Source organism: Homo sapiens, chromosome 15 (genome assembly GCF_000001405.40).
Source record: "Homo sapiens chromosome 15, GRCh38.p14 Primary Assembly".
NCBI classification, from domain to species: Eukaryota; Metazoa; Chordata; class Mammalia; order Primates; family Hominidae; genus Homo; species Homo sapiens.
The window spans coordinates 72,373,737-72,393,936 of record NC_000015.10 but is presented as its reverse complement, the minus strand read 5'-3'; the positions used below and the strand labels follow the sequence as shown (position 1 = coordinate 72,393,936).

General features: G+C 43.5%; 1 protein-coding gene, 1 long non-coding RNA gene and 1 pseudogene across 4 annotated transcripts in view, besides 5 other annotated features; 2 read left to right on the top strand and 1 right to left on the bottom strand.

Moving 5' to 3' along the window:
• Positions 14,139–14,763, top strand: RPL12P35 (ribosomal protein L12 pseudogene 35; annotated as a pseudogene).
• Positions 15,149–17,824, bottom strand: HEXA-AS1 (HEXA antisense RNA 1). The gene has a single exon (NR_027262.1). It is a non-coding gene; the product is annotated as an HEXA antisense RNA 1 (long non-coding RNA).
• Positions 17,164–17,213: an enhancer, noted in NCBI's record as "active region_9721". NCBI's record gives its function as "activates an Ori minimal core promoter by ATAC-STARR-seq in GM12878 lymphoblastoid cells {active_cell/tissue: GM12878}" and the evidence as "EXISTENCE:reporter gene assay evidence [ECO:0000049][PMID:35858748]".
• Positions 17,544–17,683: an enhancer, noted in NCBI's record as "active region_9720". NCBI's record gives its function as "activates an Ori minimal core promoter by ATAC-STARR-seq in GM12878 lymphoblastoid cells {active_cell/tissue: GM12878}" and the evidence as "EXISTENCE:reporter gene assay evidence [ECO:0000049][PMID:35858748]".
• Positions 17,544–18,131: a biological region, named in NCBI's record as "H3K27ac hESC enhancer GRCh37_chr15:72668147-72668703".
• Positions 17,575–18,131: an enhancer, noted in NCBI's record as "H3K27ac hESC enhancer chr15:72668147-72668703 (GRCh37/hg19 assembly coordinates)". NCBI's record gives its function as "activates a minimal SCP1, AML or CMV promoter by ChIP-STARR-seq in naive H9 embryonic stem cells {active_cell/tissue: H9 hESC(naive)}" and the evidence as "EXISTENCE:reporter gene assay evidence [ECO:0000049][PMID:30033119]".
• The window catches only part of HEXA (hexosaminidase subunit alpha), a 35,091-nt gene continuing 32,813 nt past the window's right edge, over positions 17,923–20,200 (top strand). For all 3 annotated transcript variants that reach the window (NR_134869.3, NM_000520.6, NM_001318825.2), the window contains exon 1: positions 17,923–18,217. Coding sequence is in view for 2 of the 3 variants with exons in the window: in NM_000520.6 (NP_000511.2) it covers positions 17,965–18,217 (253 nt within the window). In the remaining variant the exon portion in view is untranslated. The remainder of the gene's footprint in view (positions 18,218–20,200) is intronic.
• Positions 18,132–18,687: an enhancer, noted in NCBI's record as "H3K27ac-H3K4me1 hESC enhancer chr15:72667591-72668146 (GRCh37/hg19 assembly coordinates)". NCBI's record gives its function as "activates a minimal SCP1, AML or CMV promoter by ChIP-STARR-seq in naive H9 embryonic stem cells {active_cell/tissue: H9 hESC(naive)}" and the evidence as "EXISTENCE:reporter gene assay evidence [ECO:0000049][PMID:30033119]".

Here is a 20,200-nt window from a genome sequence, read left to right as displayed (position 1 = left end):
GTTATACTTCAACTAAAAGTTAAAAGAGGCCGCATGTGGTGGTTCATACCTGTAATCCCAGCACTCTGGGAGGCCAAGGCGGGCAGATCCCTTGAGGTCAGGAGTTTGAGATCAGCCTGATCAACGTGGCAAAACCCCATCTCTACTAAAAATATAAAAATTAGCTGGGCATGGTGGCAGGTGCCTGTAACTCCAGCTACTTGGGAGGCTGAGGCAGGAGAATTGCTGGATCCTGGGAGGTGGAGGTTGCAGTGAGCTGAGATCACACCATCGCACTCCAGCCTGGGCAACAAAAGCGAAACTCTGTCTCAAAAAAAAAAAAAAGAAAAAAAAAGAATAATTTGAATATATGAATCAAGAAGCTTAAAAATGTTTGCATCTTTTGTCTCAGTAATTTCATCCCTAAAATCTATAAAATCAATAACTAAGATTATTACAGCTTATTTCTATAACCTCCCATCTACCAGGAACTGTGCTAGGTGCTTTATATACATTAACCTACTTGCTTTCTGAATCACATTTTTTCACTTTATTTTCTGATTTGTTATTGCTAATGAATAAATTATTTTTTCAATGTATTTACCTTTTATCTGATCATTTGACTGAATTATTTAAATTCTAATCATTCTATTGGCCAATTTCTCTTAGATTTTCTAGGTAAACATCCTATCATCTGCAAATGATGATCATTCTGTTTCTCCCTTTACAAAATATGTCATATTGCACTGGCCAGGCACGGTGGCTCATGCCTGTAATCTAACACTTTGGGAGGCCGAGGCAGGTGGATCACTTGAGGTCAGGCATTCGAGACCAGCCTGGCCAACATGGTGAAACCCTGTCTCTACTAAAAATACAAAAAAAAATTAGCTGGGTGTGGTGGCATGCACCTGCAATCCCAGCTACTCAGGAGGCTGAAGCAGGAGAAACGCTTGCACCTGGGGGGCAGAGGTTGTAGTGAGCCAAGACCACACCACTGCATTCCAGCCTAGGCAACAGAGCAAGCCTCCATCTAAAAAAAAAAAAAAGTCATATTGCATTGATTAGACCCTTTAGAATAGTCCTCATGAAGTATTAAGGGTGGTGGACATCGTTATATTACTCTTGACTTTAATGGAACTGGCTTTATTGGTCTTTGTCTATTTGTGTATTCATTTCTGTGTTAAAGAAGTTCCATTCCATTTCTATTTTATCAAGATTTTAAAATTTAGAATGGCTGTATCAAATTCCCTCTTAGCCTCTAGAATATGGCTTTTCTTCTTTAATCTATTTAGTGTAAAAATTTCATTGATACATTTCTTAACATTTATCTAATTTTACATTCCTCTAATAACGTATTTATGAACATAGTACATTATTCTTTAATATACTGCTAGGAGTATTTGTTTATATACTCAAGCCAAGAATAATCTAGAATTTTAAAAATATATCCACATGTTTAGATTTTTTTTTTTAGTTTTAATATATTATGGTCAAATAACATGTCCTACAAGAACTCTTTTCCTTTTGGAATTTAGTAACATTTGTCATTTAGCCAGTTTTCCTAAACGTCCTTTAGGCATTTAAAGACAATGTGTAAAAAAAATAAAAAATAAATAAAATATAAAAACAATGTGTAAAGTATAAAGTTTTAAATATATTTGTGTAGAATATAAGATTCTAAATCTATCACATTAAAATTATCAATAATATTCAGGTTGTTCCTATTCTTGTTAGTTTTTTCTCCACTTGGTAAAATAAAAAATAGTCCTGGCACAGTGGCTCACCCCTGTAATTCCAGCACTTTGGGAGGCTGGAGGCAAATCGCTTGAGCCCAGAAGTTCAAGACCAGCCTGGGCAACATGGTGAAACCCCATCTCTACAAAAAAAAAAAAAAAAAAAAAGTTAGCCAGGTGTGGTGGCGCATGTCTGAGGTCCCAGCTACTGGGGGGACTGAGGTGGGAAGATTGCTTGGGCCAGGGAGGTCGAGGATTCAATGAGCCGTGTTTATGCCACTACATTCCAGCCTGGGTGACAGAGTGAGATCCTGTCTCAAACAGATAAATAATAAAAATGAAATAAAAATAGACTGTTAGCTCTTTATAGGTGCACATGAAAAGACGCCCCTAATATATTATCAACTGAAAAATTTACAAAATAGTGGTTACATCACGCCCTGATTTTTTGTTTTGAAGGATTATAAATGTGTGTATATAGAAAATAGTGGGGCTGGGCTGGGCACGGTGGCTCATGCTTGTAATCCCAGCACTTTGGGAGGCCGAGGTGGGCAGATCACCTGAGGTCGGGAGTTTGAGACCAGCCTGACCAACATGGAGAAACCCCGTCTCTACTAAAAATATAAAATTAGCTGGGCGTGGTGGCGCTTGCCTGTAATCCCAGCTACTCGGGAGGCTGAGGCAGGAGAATCACTTGAACCCGGGAGGCGGAGCTTGCAGTGAGCTGAGATCGTGCCATTGTACTCCAGCCTGGGCAACAAGAGCGAAACTCCATCTCAAAAAAAAAAAAAAAAAAAAAAAAAACAGAAAGAAAGAGAGAAAATATGCTGGGCGCCATGGCTCATGCCTATAAGCCCAACAGCTTGTGGGGCCAAGGCAAGCAGATCTCTTGAACATGGAAGTTCAAGACCAGCCTGTGCAACGTGGCGAAACCCTGTCTCTGCTAAAAATACAAAAATTAGCCAGGCATAGTCTCAGCTATTTGGGAGGCTGAGGTGGGAGGATCACTTGAGCCTGGGATGTCGAGGCTGCAGTGAGCAGTGATTGCGCCACTGCACTCCAGCCTGGGCGAGAGAACAAGACCCTGTCTCAAATAAAAAGAAAGAAAAGAAGAAAAGAAAAGAAAACGATGGTCATACATAGAAATAACCAGCCAGGCGTGGTGGCTCACACCTGTAATCCCACCACTTTGGAAGGCCAAGGTGGGTGGATCACAAGATCAGGAGTTCAAGACCAGCTTGGCCAACATGGTGAAACCCCATCTCTACTAAAAATACAAAAATTAGCCAAGCGTGGTGGCGGGTGCCTGTAATCCCAGCTATTCGGGAGGCTGAGGCAAAGAACGGCTTGAACCCAGGAGGCAGAGGTTGCAGTAAGCTGAGATTGTGCCACTGCATGGGCGCCTGGGAGACAGAGCAAGACTCCATCTCAAAAAGAAAAAAAAAAAGAAAAAAAAGAAAGAACCATGCATACTATGTCATACATACATAAACAGATATATGTGCTAAAGTGATGGTAGTCTTTATCTTTCAGGCTTCTATATGGCCTCTTGGCACCATAAAGGGCTCAAGAGTGCGAAATAAGCCCTGGGAAATGCGTAAACATCAGGAAGGACTGTGGTGACATTTCCCTGTAGCCCAGCAGATTGGGGACTTGGGTCATGAAGTTAGAAATTAATTTGTTGTAGAAAACACTTGTAATTTCTACATAGCTGAGTTGGTGAACTGAGAGTCATACTTTCTACACACAATATTGTGGTGTTTAAATTTTTCAAAATAAATACATGTTGCTTTTACAATAAATAAATGACAGTCATTGCCTGTCCCATATCCTTTTCTAAGTGAATCTGTTCCCCTCCCTAGCACCTGCTCAAAGACGGAGCTTTGATCGTCTATGGATTAGATGACCCTACCATTCTTATCTGTAGTTTGTGTCTTTAACTTTTTTTTTTTTTTTTTGAGACAGAGCCTTGCTCTGTTGCCCAGGCTGAAATGCAGTGGTGTGATCTGGGGTCACTGCAACCTCTGCCTTCCCGGTTCAAGCAATTCTCCTGCCTCAGCCTCCAGAGTAGCTGGGACTACAGGCACACACCACCACACCTGGCTAATTTTTGTATTTTTTTTAGTACAGACAGGGTTTCACCATGTTGGCCAGGCTGGTCTCAAACTCCTGACCTCAAGTGATCCACCTGCCTCGGCCTCCCAAAGTGCTCGGATTATAGGCGTGAGTCACCACACCCAGCCTACAGTATGCGTCTTTAATGTTTGGCTCAAGAATGACATCTCTTCCTAGCTGGGCCAACCAAATTTTCTCTTTGGGAACACTGGAACACTAAGAGAACGAATTGGAAATAACAGGAGAATGAAGCAGATGCAGGAAAAGGGTTGAGAGAAGGGTGGGTCCTGAGAGATCAACAGGTAGCTTTGGTTCCTAATAAGGCATTCTAGCCCATTTGACCATTGCTATAGTTAAATTTACTTCTAGGTGCTTGTAAAGATGATAAACTCCTCACTCTTGAGCTACTTGGCGTTCTCTTCCTTGCAACTAAAAGATCTCTGACAAGAACATCAAGTATTTAATCTTTTGCACCTAGAATGCAAAGAATCTTTCTCATTTTTGGAACATTCTTATATTACATAACATCGTTTATCACAATGGGAAGAATCACTATTTCTTTGACCTTTGTCTTCATGGTTAGAGCTATAATCACTTCATAGTTACTTGTATGTTCACTTATTGGCTCTGAACAATGCTTTATCTTTCCCCTGGCCTCCTGCCACTGTCTGGCTAATGTAAACTCAAGGAAGGTTAATGGATTTTTAATACTCCCCTAAGCAAACTTTCTTTAGGAAAATAAGTCAGTCAGCTACTACCGGGGAGGAACACCACTGGCCAAACACAGTGACTCTTAGATTATTCGCATCACTGCTTCTTTCCAGTTCTAGGGTTAATTGAAAGTTGGCCATGCACCTTCAAATCCAATTATCATTCCTTTCTGGAATAAGGCAGTGGGCTAAGAAAAGGATGTAGGCACGGAAAGCTCCATGATTAAACTGCATTCAATGTCAAGGGGGCCAGCCTGGGCAACATAGTGAGACCTCATTTCTACTAAAAATTTAAAAAAAAATTAGCTGGGTGTGGTGGTGTGCACCTTTGGTCCTAGTGATTTGGGAGGCTGAGATGGGAGGATCACTTGAATCCAGGAGGTTGAGGCTGCAGTGAGCCATGATTGTGCCACTGCACTGCAGCCTGGGCAACATAGCATTGCAGTGAGCCGAGATCACACCACTGCACTCCAGCCTGGGCGACAGAGCAAGACTCCATCAAAAAAAACAAAACAAACCAACAAAAAACTCCAAACTCAAGGGGGCTAGATGATTGTAGGCATTTCCAGAGGCACAGTTCCAGTGTGGTAATGAGAGCCCTTGTCAGGATGGCCACACATCTGTGGTCTGTTTCCAGCCCTGCCACCCTTTGGCTGCATTCGACCTGGATCAAATAATTTCAATTTAAAAATGTATTGGCATGCAAAGCACTATACTATGTACAACAAGGAAAAAATTTTTTCATTTGACAAATATTTATTGAGCACCCACTAGGTACCTGGCACTGTGCTAGGTGCTGGAAGTACCACAATAAATAGGATTCTATCCTTACTCTTGAGGAACAGCACTTCACCTCACTGGTTCTCAGTTCCCTCACCTGAGGTCAGGAGTTTGAGACCAGTCTGGTCAACATGGCAAAATCCCATCTCTACTAAAAATACAAAAACTAGCCAGGCTTGGTGGCGTGTGCCTGTAATTCCAGCTACTCGGGAGGCTGAGGCATGAGAATCACTTGAACCCAGGATGCGGAGGCTGCAGTGACTCAAGATCATGCCACTGCACTCTAGCCTGGACAACAGAGTGGGACTCCGACTCAAAAAAAAAAAAAAAAAAAAAAAGGAATCTAAGAGAAAGATCCAAAAGGCACTCCAACAGAGGTAAGACATTTAGACTGTGCTCTTACCACTGAAGAGTCCACTCCTAGCATCAGTGAATTGTGTGTTTTGGAAACCTGTATCACAGTAATATGTCACTAACATTTTATGAAGCCAAATGTTAGTGGATGGCCAAAGGACAGAAATGTTACAGGGATCTGTGCTCTGGGGTTCCTGGAGGGTGTAGCCTGGCTATTAGTCAAGGAAGGAAAATAAGATATAGAGGACTCAAGCAGGAAGAGAATGGGAAGAAGGCAAGGAGTGAGCAAGGCCCACTGGGAAATTCCAGTGCAAAATAACATAAGATCTGAATCACTTTCTGTGAAGGATTTATATACTCCATTTCATCATTGTCCCACCTCCCTTCAGGGGATTTCAGATTATTTTTGTGGATTTGGTCAACATGAGCAGCCCTGCCATAAAATGTATCACCATCACCTCTCTAGGAATGAGGTCTAAGGGACCAGGTTAGACTCAAGATAATCCTAGTCTGAAGCAGCTCTCAGGATGCCTGGGGCAGGAGGATATAGTCTAGGCAGAAGGAGTCCCCACTAAAAGGGCCTTAAACCCCATAGAGCTGTCATATGCCTATAAATTTGTCCAATTTTGATCTAAAAATCCCAATATCGGGGCCCTGGACTCTTGGTCTAACCCTGGATGGGACTTCTGATGTTTTTCCATGAGTTTAGCCAACCTTGATATAAGCTTAAAGTGGGAAGAGCCCTAATCAAACAGCTGCCATGGTAAAGGGGATATTAACAATACATTCCTCGAGGCATTATTGTGAGAATTAAAGGAAATGACATAGACTTTTTTAAAAAACTAAAAAATGTTATAGGTGGAACATATTTACATAGTACAAAATATGAAACACACAAAAGGATATACAGGAAGTCCCCCTGCCATCTTATGCTTTACCCACCCAATATCCCTCTCCAGAGGCACCGGTTGCATATATGTGCTTTGAGACATAGTCTATGCTAATACAGATGAAAACACACATCACATATTTTCCTTCTTTTAATAGCATTTCCTTCTTTATAACGCCAGAGAGAAATCTTTTAATTCCTTATTTTTATTGTTAGTGCCTTTCTCAGCACTGTGCCCAACTGATGCCTACTCAATGCATTTTCATAAAGATGCTGAGGACAGCCAGTTGCAGTGACTCATGTCTGTAATCCTAGTGCTTTAGGAGGTCAAGGTAGGCAGATCACTTGAGGCCAGGCGTTTGAGACCAGCCTGGCCAACATAGTGAAAGACTGTCTCTATTAAAAATACAAAAATTAGCTGGGTATGGTGGTGCACACCTATAGTCCCAGCTACCGGCAGGGTGAGATGGCAGGATTGCTTGAGTCCAGGAGGTGGAGGTTGCAGTGAGCCAAGATTGTGCCACTGCACTCCAGCCTGGGCAACAGAGTAAGACTCTGCCTCAAAAAAAAAAAAAAAAAGTTGCTGAGGGCATCACCCTGTGTGGCCTAGCACTAGCAAGGTTTCCAAGGTATATCTTGAGTCATTTTCTATCTTGAGTGTAACTTTGTGTCCCTAAAATGGGTCCAATCCTGTTGTCCCTTATTTGTAAAAGGTCTAAAACCCTCAAGTGTTAGGAGTTGCATGCAAGTCATTAGTTTTGTTCTTCTTATTCTACTGGCCTGCAATGGAGATATGGATACAAATATCCCTAAAGTTTCATTGGGGGAAAAATATCTTGAAGACAGAATGAAGGACAGTTGCTATTTCATTTTATATCTATAGATCTCTAAGGCTCTCAGCCTAGTACACTATAGAAAAAATAATAGTTTAAATGTTATTTTAAAATGTGACTGCTGAAGGTGTGTTAATTTTTTCTAACAAAATAAAATCATGGATCTGGAAGAAATTTTATATATGTTTTAATCAACACCATCATCACACAGATTAAAAAACAGCCTTTTAAGGGATCTGATATGTAAATTCATAGGAATAGCTTATAATTAGCATACATACTGCATATATATATATATATATATACATACACACACATATATGTGTGTGTGTATACCATTACAGTGGTATGATAAAGCCAGTTAAAAGAGCTAAGGTATGGCCAGGCACAGTGGCTCATGCCTATAATCCCAGCACTTTGGGAGGCCGAGGCAGGTGGATCACCTGAGGTCAGGAGTTCGAGGCCAGCCTGACTAACATGGTGAAACCCTGTCTCTACTAAAAATACAAAACTTAGCCTGGTGTAGTAGCGGGTGCCTGTAATCCGAGCTACTCAGGAGGCTGAGGCAGGAGAATCGCTTGAACCCAGGAGGTGGAGGTTGCAGTAAGCCGATATGGTGCCATTGCACTCCAGCCTGGGTGACAGAGCAAGACTTCATCTCAAAAAAAAAAAAAAAAAAAGAGCTAAGATATGGCATGTGCCTTCCTAGATACATGGGAGTGCTGAACATGCATAATTAATCACAACACGAGTTTGGCTGTGGTAAGAGCTGTACTTGTGGAACCCAGACTATGGAATTACAATGGAGGGATTAACTCTGACTGGGGGAATCAGAACAATCTTGATTTGCACAGAGCTTTGGAGGACAGTAGGATCACCACTGGCATAGATGGGAGAATGAGAGGGCCCTGGAGCTGGAACATTAGATGGAATAGGGCTGAGGTGGCCATTACATGTCTTGTGCAACACTCCAGTCAGGAGGAAATAGAGGTTATAAGGCAGTTGAAGTAGCTGACAAGCAAAGAGGAAAACTGATCGGACGTTCTGAGAGGAATAGAAGAACACTGAGAGAGAGAGGGAGATGAGAGAGTAGCCAGGCCCTTGACTTCTGCTCTTTTTGAAATTTGGTTTTGTGCTTTTCTGGGTTTGCTCTGTATATCCCTTTCATAGACTTCTGTTTTCCCGAAATAACGTAAGTCTCTATTCCTTGCAAGCAAAAGGCTCTGATCATAACAGTGGATTTCATCCTGATAGCATTCCATAGCCATTAAAAGTTCTGGAGAAGGAAGATGACTTGATCAGAAATACAATTTAGATAAATAAAACTCCGACAGTAGTGTAGAGCAGCGGTCCCCAACCTTCTTGGTACCAGGAACTGGTTTTGTGGAAGACAGTTTTTCATGGAATGGGTGGGGGGTGGGGAGGGGGAGAATGAGTTGGGATGGTTTCGGGATGAAACTGTTCCACCTAAGATCATCAGGCATTAGATTCTCATAAGGAGTGTGCAACCTAGATCCCTCACATATGCAGTTCACAATAGGATTCCCACTCCAATGACAATCTAATGCTGCTGCTGATCTGACAGGAGGTGGAGCTCAGGCAGTAATTCCCGCTGGTCCTCTGATCACCTCCTGCTGTGAGGCCCGGTTCCTAATAGACCACAGACCAGTACCAGTCCATGGCCCGGGGGCTGGGGACCCCTGATGTAGAGGCTGAATGTCCTCCTGATGTTGAGGAGACCTTGAAAAGGTCCTTTCTTGCCTTTCCCTTCATCAACACCACCTCTGATCTGAGTCTACTCTACTAGCCACCATCTCTCCCCTGTTCTCTTGTCTCTCACAAACCTCTCTCATCTTTACCTCTAATTTTTAGCTAACTTTCCCTTTTCCCATTTTCCCTTGACTATATCATACATTTTCATGATTTCAACTGTTATCTCTGGGCAGGTGACTCTTAAAGCTCTCTGGTGAGCCACCAATCTCAGCTCTGCTGGACATCCTAATTGTCTGTTAAAATCCCTCAAAACAGGCCAGGTGCAGTGGCTCACGCCTGTAATCCCAGCATCTTGGGAGGCCGAGGTGGGTGGATCACCTGAGGTCAGGAGTTCAAGACCAGCTCGGCCAACGTGGTGAAACCCCGTCTCTGCTAAAAATACAAAAATTAGCCAGGCGTGGTGGCGTGCACCTGTAATCTCAGCTACTTGGGAGGCTGAGACAGGAGAATCGCTTGAACCTGAGAGGTGGAGGTTGCAGTGAGCCAAGGTTGTGCCACTGTACTCCAGGTTGGGCGACAGAGCAAGACTCCGTCTCCAAAAAAAAATCCCTCAAAAAGCATGTCTCAGAGCTCATCCTCTTTTCCCAATATCTGCTCTTCCATTTGTACTGAGCCAGTACACCATCATTCCGTGGGGAAATGTAGTGAGCTGTGATGGTGCCACTGCACTCCAGTCAGGGCAACAGAGATCCTGTCTCAAAAAAAAAAAAAAGAGAGAAAGAAGGGAAAGAAAAAAGAAATAATCCTTAAACGAATGACTAAAGTCATGCTCTTTTCCTTTCCAAGCTGGTACACCCTCACATCTTTTCCTCTCCCCTTTCCTTTGTCCCCATTCCCACAGCACCCAGTTAGCTGCTGAGTTCCATTATTCCATATCTGAAATATTATTGCATTTGTCCCACATGCATTTGTCCCACAGCCTCCTTTCCACTGTCACTCCTTTAGCTCAGATCTGTTGAAAGTTCCCTTGGGGCTCTAGTTTTTCTAGTTTTATGACACACAGAAAAACCTTTGTAAAAAATTCAGGCCATAAATGAAAGTCTGGCTGGGTGTGGTGGCTCACAACTGTCATTCCAGCACTTTGGGAGGCCTAAGAGGGAGGATTGCTTGAGGTTAGGAGTTCAAGACCAGCCAGGGCAACAGAGCAAGATCCTTAAAAAGTACAGCAAGTCTCTACAGACAAGAAAAGAAAAGAAAGGTCTATTTATAGCCTCGGATCGGATGGATATAGGACAAAGCCAGTTATTGTAAGGGGTGTATGTCTAGATTTAGGAAAGTCTGCTAAGACTTAGTGAGTAAACCTGAATAAGATAACTAGGATAATTATAAAACTAGAAGACAGGAGGGGATTGGGCTAAAAAAGAAGGGAAACTGGACACAACATTTTCTTTTTGGTAGAGGTAGAGATGGGGTCTCCCTGTGTTGCTCAGGCTGGTCTCGAACTGCTGGGCTCAAGTAATCCTCCTGCCTCAGCCTCCCAAAGTGCTGGGATTACAGGCATGAGCCACCACACTGGGCCCTGGACACATTTTTAGAAACCCTACAGAAAATTGTATATGTTCAGTAGTGATAAATTGGATAGAGTTTTGTAAATCTAGAAATAGGAAGGGAAGAGCTTGGAGGCAACAGGAAAAAGGAGAAGCAGAGGCATGTGAAATGGAATGGATTTAAAGAGTGTCAGGATGGCTGGGCCAGTGGCGCACACCTATAATCGCAGCACTTTGGAAGCCTGAGGCAGGAGGATCGCTTGAGCCCCGGAGTTTGAGACCAGCCTGGGCAACATAGGGAGACCCCATCTCTACAAAAACTTTAAAAATTAGCCTGGTGTGGTAGCATGTGCCTGTAGTCCCAGCTACTTGGGAGGCTGATGTGGGAGGATCCCTTGAGCCCAGGAGTTTGAGATTGCAGTGAGCTGATTGTGCCACTGCACCACTGAACACCAGCCTGGGCAACAGAGGGAGATTCTGTCTCTAAAAAAACTTTTTTAATAAAAAATAAAGGTGGCCGGGCGCAGTGGCTCATGTCTGTAATCCTCATACTTTGGGAGGCTGAGGTGGGTGGATTACTTGAGGTCAGGAGTTTGAGACCAGCCTGGCCAACATGGCAAAACCCTGTCTCTACTAAAAATGCAAAAATTAGCCGTGGGTGGTGGTGGGCGCCTGTAATCCCAGCTATGCAGGATGCTGTGGCAGGAGAATCACTTGAACCCAGGAAGCGGCGGTTGCAGTGAGCTGATTGAGCCACTGCACTCCGGCCTGGGCAACAGAGCAAGACTCCATTTCAAAAAATAAAATAAAAAATTAAAAAAGGGAGTGGGAGTCAGGGTGCAGAGAGAATTTTGGCAACCTGCACTTCTGTAAACATTGACAAGTTAAACAAAGCTTAAGTCTTGCTGGTCTGGCCACCTAGTGTGGGAGAAGAGAAATGAAACCATCAGTCCCAAGTGAATTTGAGTCTACACTTTCTGAGTCCCATAGCACATGAGGATGGTCAGGTTAAACTCTTAGTTAACAGTCTCAGAGATAATCTCCCTGCACTTGGCTTTCCCATTCAATCTCTCCTACATACGTTAACAGATTAATCTTAGTGAATCTTAGCTCTGACCTTGTTGTTCCTCAACTAAAGAAGTTTCTCTCGCTTCCCATGGACTCAAGAGTAAAATCTCAATACAATCTGCAGCCTAGCTTTCAAGGAACTGTGATAGATATAAAAAGAAATGAACTTTGGGACAGAAGACCTGGGTCCAAACATTGGTTCTGACAATTACATGGGACTTGGGTCAGGTTATTTTAATTCTCAGAGTCAATTACCTCACCTGTACAATGTAGCTAAGACTCATTTTCACACAGCTGTTGTGAGAGATAAATAAGACAACATATGTCTGGTGCCTCACTCAATTTCCTACTTTCCTTACTTTACAATCCAGTTTCAACCTACTTTCTTTTTTTTTTTTTTTTTTTTTTTTTTGAGATGGAGTCTTGCTCTGTAGTGCAGGCTGGAGTGCAGTGGCACGATCTCGGCTCACTGCAACCTCTGCCTCCCGGGTTCACGTCATTCTCCTGCCTCAGCCTCCCGAAAAGCTGGGACTACAGGCGCCCGCCACCATGGCCGGCTAATTTTTTGTATTTTTAGTAGAGACGGGGTTTCACCATGTTAGCCAGGATGGTTTCGATCTCCTGACCTCGTGATCCACCCGCCTCAGCCTCCCAAAGTGCTGGGATTACAGGTGTGAGCCACAGCGCCTGGCCTCAACCTACTTTCTAACATTCCTTACATTCCTTCTGTTAGTATTTCTCTTCATGCACTGTTTGTTCTAGCCAGACAGAATTGCTTACTTCCCTGGTATCTCTCCAGATGCTTTGGAGATCTCTGCCTAGGTTCATTTGCCATTTCATTGTATGCATCCAGAAAATATTCATTAAGTGTCTGCTATGTGCCAGGCACTCTTCCAGAACCTGGAGATCCTAAAGTGAACAAGTTACATAGAGTTATCCTTCTAGATTGTGGTCCCCCTCTATAGACTGCTCTTTTCCTTTACACATTGAAATTCAAACTCTTTCAAAATTTAACACAAATGCTTCCTCTTTCATGCATTCATTCAACAAGTACTTGCTGAACACTTACTGTGTGCAGAGTCCTGGCTTAGGCAGTAAGGATACAATTGTGAAAAAGGTACCATTCATTCAGCATGTGGGCTGTGGAGGACATGGACAAGTAAAGAGGCTATAATGAGGGTACTATACAAAAGTACCCAAGAGGAGATGATGTTTCCCCTTCCACACATCACAGCACACACAGGAAGAGACTGCTCTTGACTGCAGGTGACTCGCCAGGATGTCTAGCTGCCCCAGGCCCTACCACCCCAAGGATTGAGGGGCTGGCTGTCTCAGCACACCAGTAGGAGATTCAAGAAATACTAGGCCAGGCGCAGTGGCTCATGCCTGTAATCCCAACACTTTGAGAAACTGAGGTGGGAGAGTCACTTGAGCCCACGAGTTTCAGACCCTAACCTGCTGGGATTGCAGGCGTGAACCACCGTGCCTGGCCAAGAAATACTCTTAAAATGAATAAAGTCATGCTAAAGAGCATTTACTGTGTGCTAGACACTGTTCCAGGGGCTAGTGAACACAGAACCTGCCCTTAAGAAGCTCTTACTGTAGTGGAACAGACAGACAAATGGACAAACAATAACAATAGAGCCATACCCTGGTATACTCAAGGGATTGGTTCCAGGAACCGCCTCCCCCACGTCCCCAACCTTCCAAGGATACCAAAATCTGCATATACTCCGCACATACTCAAGTCCTGCATATGGTCCTCCATATCCATGGGGTTTGCATCCCAAGAACACTGTGTTTTCCATCTGCCTTTGGCTGCATAATATCTGTGTATAGATGGACTAGTGCAGTTCAAACCCACGTTGTTCAAGGGTCAACTGTACTTTCAGATACATGAGATTAACTCAGAGAGTTATGAGATCACAGAGGGGGATCTTACCCAGATTTGAGAAGTCAGAAATTTCCAGGATGGTAAAATATAAGTTTAGACCTTCAAGTAGGTGGAGGGATTGGAAAGTGGGAAAGGCATTGCAGAGAGAAGAGAGTATGGTAGAGGACCAGGAAGTGAGGTAATCGTGGCACATTTTCTTTTGCTAGCCCCATAAACCCTTTGTTCAATATGTCATCTCTTTCACATCTCTGTGCTTTGCCTATGCTCCCCTTCCCTGCCTGGCTAACTCATGCTTTGGGAGTCAATTCAAAGTTCACCTCCATTGTAAAAGACTTCCTGAGGCAAATTATTTATTTCCTGCTTCTTTCTGATCCCTTAATTTATGAGCCAAAAACCTGAACACATTGTCTGACAGTGAATTATTTTTCTGATATGTAAATTAATTTTATTAGAAGCTATAGATATGAAAATTAAATCATGTTTTTATTCATTTAACAAGCTGCCTTTAATAAAGAAAAAATAGCTCTCAGCTTTTGGCTCGGAGGAGGCCAAGGTGCAACTTTCTTCGGTCATCCCGAATCCGGGTTCATTCGACACCAGCTGCCTCCACCATGCCGCCAAAGTTTGACCCCAACGAGATCAAAGTTGTATACCTGAGGTGCACTGGAGGTGAAGTCGGTGCCACTTCTGCCCTGGCCCCCAAGATCGGCCCCCTGGGTCTGTCTCCAAAAAAGGTTGGTGATGACATTGCCAAGGCAACGGGTGACTGGAAGGGCCTGAGGATTACAGTGAAACTAACCACTCAGAACAGACAGGCCCAGATTGAGGTGGTGCCTTCTGCCTCTGCTCTGATCATCAAAGCCCTCAAAGAACCACCGAGAGAGAAAGAAACAGAAAAACATTAAACACAGTGGGAATATCACTTTTGATGAGATCGTCAACATTGCTCAACAGATGCGGCACTGATCCTTAGCCAGAGAACTCTCTGGAACCATTAAAGAGATCCTGGGGACTGCCCAGTCTGTGGGCTGTAATGTTGATGGCCAGCACCCTCATGACATCATAGATGACATCAACAGTGGTGCTGTGGAATGCCCAGCTAGTTAAGCACAAAGGAAAATATTTCAATAAAGGATCATTTGACAACTAGAAAAAAAAGAAAAACCATCAAATATTATATACAGTATGTTATTATTTTTTATATTCATCTACTGTCCAAATTGATGGCAATGTTGTATATATACTAATTTAAATAATTCATATTGTTAAAAACTGTTTATTCATTTTTAAATTTAAATTTAATTTTTTTTGAGACAGAACCTCCACCCAGGCTGAAGTGCAGTAGCGTGATCTTGGCTCACTGCAACCTCTGCCTCCCAGGTTCAAGTGACCCTCCTGCCTCAGCCTCCCAAGTAGCTGGGATTACAGGTGCCTGCCACCACACTAATTTTTGTATTTTTAGTAGAGATGGGGTTTCACCGTGTTGGCCAGGCTGATCTCAAACTCCTGACCTGAAGTGATTCACCCGCCTCAGCCTCCCAAAGTGCTGGGATTAAGGCATGAGCTACCATACCCAGTCTAATTTTAATTTTAAGTTTTTTTGGTATATAGTAGGTGTATATATTTATGGGGTACCTGAGATGTTTTGATATAGGCATCCAATGTGAAATAAGCACATCATGGAGAATGGGGTTATCCATACCCTCAATCATTTATCCTTTGAGTTATAAACAATCCAGTTACACTCTTTTAAAATATACAATTATTATTGACTATAGTCACCCTATTGTGCTCTCGAATAGTATGTCTTATTCAGGCTACTTTTTTTGTACCCATTAACCACCCCCATCTCAAAAAAGAAAAAAATAAAGAGAGATGGGATTTCCTCGTATTACCCATGCTGATCTTGAACTCCTGGGCTCAAGTGATCCTCCCATCTTGGCCTTCCACAGTGCTGGAATTGCAGGTGTGAGCCACCATCCCCAGCCTGTGATCCATTTTTAATTAAGTTTGTGTATGCTGTGAGGTAGGGGATCATAGTTCATTTTTCCCACATAGGGATATCTATTTTCTTCATCACCTTTTATTGAAAATAACTTGCCTTCCCCACTAAATTAAATTGGTGTCTTCATTGAAATGGAGTAATAATCAAATGGCTCTTTTCCTGGACCCTCTATTCCGTTCCATCTATTTGTCTGCCATTATGCCAAAACCCCACTCTAGTGTATAGTAAGGGGGGATATTTTGGAAGATCAACAAATTTATCTTGTGTAACTTACTTTTATGTATGCATAAGAATATTTGGTTTAAAAATCTGGTTAAGTCTAAAAGAGCTCTTTCAGTAATAATTAAATAACTGAATCCCTGTAATCCACCATGCTCAGCCCCATTAGTAATTTTTATAGCGTCTTTATTTGGATCTAGCTCTTTCATCTTGTGTAACTCTTTTAAGTAAATGACTCCTCCCTTCTGGTACAGGTTGAATATCCATAAAAGGGTGCCTTGGCATGTGCTCAGTCCTGAAATTCTACTTTGATCTACTGCTCTCATCTTTGAAACTGCTCTAAACACTCCCCCAAATTATTGATCCTGTGGGCCTGATTATGAACTTGGCTCTTCTGACAATACTTCTCAAATCCTGTACCTTTGGTAACATCTCTCCTGACTGGCAGAGTACCCAGACACTTAATTAATGCTGATGAAAATTAAGATTTAAGCAAAGAAGAAATTGGTGTAAGAATGCAAGCCTTAGGATCTGAAACTTGATGACTGTGGGATCTAATTTCTGCTTCTTTTGCTACAAGCTCTGTTTTTGAATAATCAACTTTCAAAGACAAATTGCTTGATGAATCTCTGTATTGTCAGAATGTTTCTTTGATTTCCCATCAAAGCCATGTATGTGTAACTAGTAATTAGGTACCTACGACCTGAATATAAATTATCATTATTTCAGTAGCCCTTTATTTGTTTTTGAGAAAGGGTTTCACTATACTGCCCAGGCTAAACTTGAACTCCTTGGTTCAAGTGATCCTGCCGCCTCAGCCTCCTGAATAGCTGGGAGTAGCTGGGACTACAGGGATGTGTTATCATGCCCAGTGAAAGCCCTTTATTTTTAAAAGTTCATTTTCCTGATCTTTACATGTATTTTAATACTAAAATTAAATTTAAAAATTTTAAAAAGTACCTACTAACCAAATAATGCCACCCAATAACAATAGCATTATTTGTATTATGTTCTGGTAATATAGTGGTGAACAAGGAAGACAGGGTCTCTGATAACTGTGGAATTCTCCTTGATCACTTCTCAAGCCTCTCTTCCGGATACTATTTCTTGGATCTACAGCTGTCTTCCTTCCCCACTTCTGTAGTTCAGTCTCTCATTATTCTCTACCTCCAATAAAAAGGGGCCTCCTAACTGGTTTCTTATGCAACTACTCAACATGGTATTTCTAAAATGCAGATCTTTCGGGATGATTTTCAATTGCTCAGAGAATAAATTCCTTGACTTTCTACGTAAGGCCCTGCAGGACCAGGCCCCTGTCATTATCTCTGAGCACTCTCCATCTTGCACCCAAAGCCCCAGCAATATCTTACTGCTTTCAGTAAATACACACCGGGCTATGTGGGGTTTTGTCTGGGGAAAGGGGATGTGAGTTGTAACTAAGAGATTTATAGTCAATCTTGAAGGGAAGAGCTCATATTGGAGGCAATGGAATGCCTCAAGCTGGCTCTGAAAGTACACATTTTTTCCAGTCATAAGTAGATCACATTTGTGTGATCTTGTGATCCTCTCTCTAGCAGAGCCGTGCAGACTACCTACTTCCGGCCCTTTCTTGCCCCACGAAATTTCACATCACAACGACTTGTGGTTTTAATCCTCCGTTTTTCTGCTTCTGAAGTTACTTCAGCCTGGCAAGTCCTTTACCTCCCCGTAGGCCTGGCGAGCTGCATCACAACATTCAAGATTCACCCTAGAGCCATCTGGGAAACTTTCTTCTCCAGGTCGCCCTGCGTCCTCGCCTCCCCACCCCGTTCTTCTCGAGTCGGGTGAGCTGTCTAGTTCCATCACGGCCGGCACGGCCGCAGGGGTGGCCGGTTATTTACTGCTCTACTGGGCCCGTGAACAGTCTGGCGAGCCGAGCAGTTGCCGACGCCCGGCACAATCCGCTGCACGTAGCAGGAGCCTCAGGTCCAGGCCGGAAGTGAAAGGGCAGGGTGTGGGTCCTCCTGGGGTCGCAGGCGCAGAGCCGCCTCTGGTCACGTGATTCGCCGATAAGTCACGGGGGCGCCGCTCACCTGACCAGGGTCTCACGTGGCCAGCCCCCTCCGAGAGGGGAGACCAGCGGGCCATGACAAGCTCCAGGCTTTGGTTTTCGCTGCTGCTGGCGGCAGCGTTCGCAGGACGGGCGACGGCCCTCTGGCCCTGGCCTCAGAACTTCCAAACCTCCGACCAGCGCTACGTCCTTTACCCGAACAACTTTCAATTCCAGTACGATGTCAGCTCGGCCGCGCAGCCCGGCTGCTCAGTCCTCGACGAGGCCTTCCAGCGCTATCGTGACCTGCTTTTCGGTTCCGGGTCTTGGCCCCGTCCTTACCTCACAGGTGAGTCGGACTTGTCCCGCCCTGTTCCTGGGCCCTGAGAGTGCCTGCCTGGGGACAGTTCCCCCAGGGCTCCAGAGACGCCCTATGGGCTTTTGTCCAGCCCTCTGATCACAGGCACTCCACTTCCTCCTCGAGCTGCATTAGGTTTTCATCCAAAGATAACTACTATAGGACTACGGTTCAATCAGGAGATTAATTTATGGAAAATACTGTGCCAGCAGAAATCTAAGGTGATCCTTCTGACCGTGTTCAAGCTAGCCAGGGTCCTAGTGAGACTGTGAGCAAGGGCTGAGTAGAGACCAGAGAAAACACTCAAAATTGGGGAGACATAATACAAGAACTATGCAAAGTTACATACAAGTTTCTGGCACATAGAATGTTTGGCGGGCGGATCACGAGGTCAGGAGTTCGAGACCAGCCCGGCCAACATAGTGAAACCCCGTCTCTACCAAAAACACAAAAAATTAGCCAGGCGTGGCGGCGCGCGCCTGTAGTCCCAGCTACTCGGGATGCTGAGGCAGGAGAATCGGTTGAACCCATGAGGTGGAGGTTGTGGTGAGCTGAGATCGCGCCACTGCACTCCAGCCTGGGCAACAGAGCAAGACTCCCTCTCAGAAAAACAACCCCCCCCCCCAAACAAAACAAAACAAAACAAAAAAAGTGTAAATTGTGAAAGAAATCATAGAACATAAGGAAGTGAGTTTCCAGCGGCCACTTGGAATGGGATGGTAGATGTAATTAGCCGGGACTGAAAAGAGGGTATTCCAGGCAGGAAGAAGGGCTTGAGCAGAGGCACAAAGAATTATGATTGAGTTCAAAGTTCAGGTCTAGTGGATGTGATGAGTGGGGGCTGGGGATTGAGGAGGGATGAGGGTGGGGAAAATGTGGGGTTGAAGAGTCAAGAGCGCTTTAGACATTGGTTTCACATAAAATGGAAGGGGCTAACAGTTTTCTTTTAGGCAGCTATGTAATCAGTACTGAAAATTGTATTTGAGGATAATTATTCCACAGCACATTTGTAAGTCGAGCCAACAATGTAAAGGAATACAATTCTGCTGCATGGGTTCAAAATTTAGAAGTTTCTTGATAATCTGGAATCTAGCTCTTTGGTTATATTGTATAGATGTTATGGGGGTGGGAGCCACATTTACGGTTAAGTCTTGTAGTAATATTTTATATGATGTTTCAAGTGTGTTTAAATTACTTTCACAAAAGTTATCATTTGATATATAGAATTAAAAGCATTTAATTATACAGATGACCCTTAGAGAGTGACATTTGATTTGGGGAAAGAAACACAATCTCAGCATCAGGGTAGTCCTTAACTGGTAAAATGCATTAAGCTGGAGAGGATAAGAGGCCTGCTGTTGAGTGTGGTAGATCACATTTTCCTCTGAATCCTTCATGACAAATAATAGAGTGCCTTACCCAAGATTGGCACTCAGAATATGTTGATTTTGGTTTAGAAGAGTTTGAGCCTGGTTTATGGAAAAAAAAATCCGTCTAACTGGTATATGTCAATCCCAGTGCTGGGCACTCTGAAGGTTACAAGAAAAGTCTTAAGACCTAGGCCTAGGCTCTATAGTTCAATTGCGAAAATATGAAACAGAGGGAGGTACACAGTGAATTATAAGATTCTCAAAAGCTTTATAGGTTGTTTCCTACTATTGTATACATGAGAATAATTCCTTTCCTTTTTTTTTTTTTTTTTGAGACGGAGTCTCGCTTTATCACTCAGCCTACACTGAGGCTGAGTGCAGTGATACGATCTTGGCTCACTGCAGCCTCCGCCTCCTGGGTTCAAGCGATTCTCCTGCCTCAGCCTCCCGAGTAGGTGGGACTACACGTGCTTGCCACCACGCCCAGCTAATTTTTGTATTTTTAGTAGAGATGGGGTTTCACCATGTTGGCCAGGCTGGTCTCAAACTCCTGGCCTCAAGTGATCCACCCACCTCAGCCTCCCAAAGTGCTGAGATTACAGGC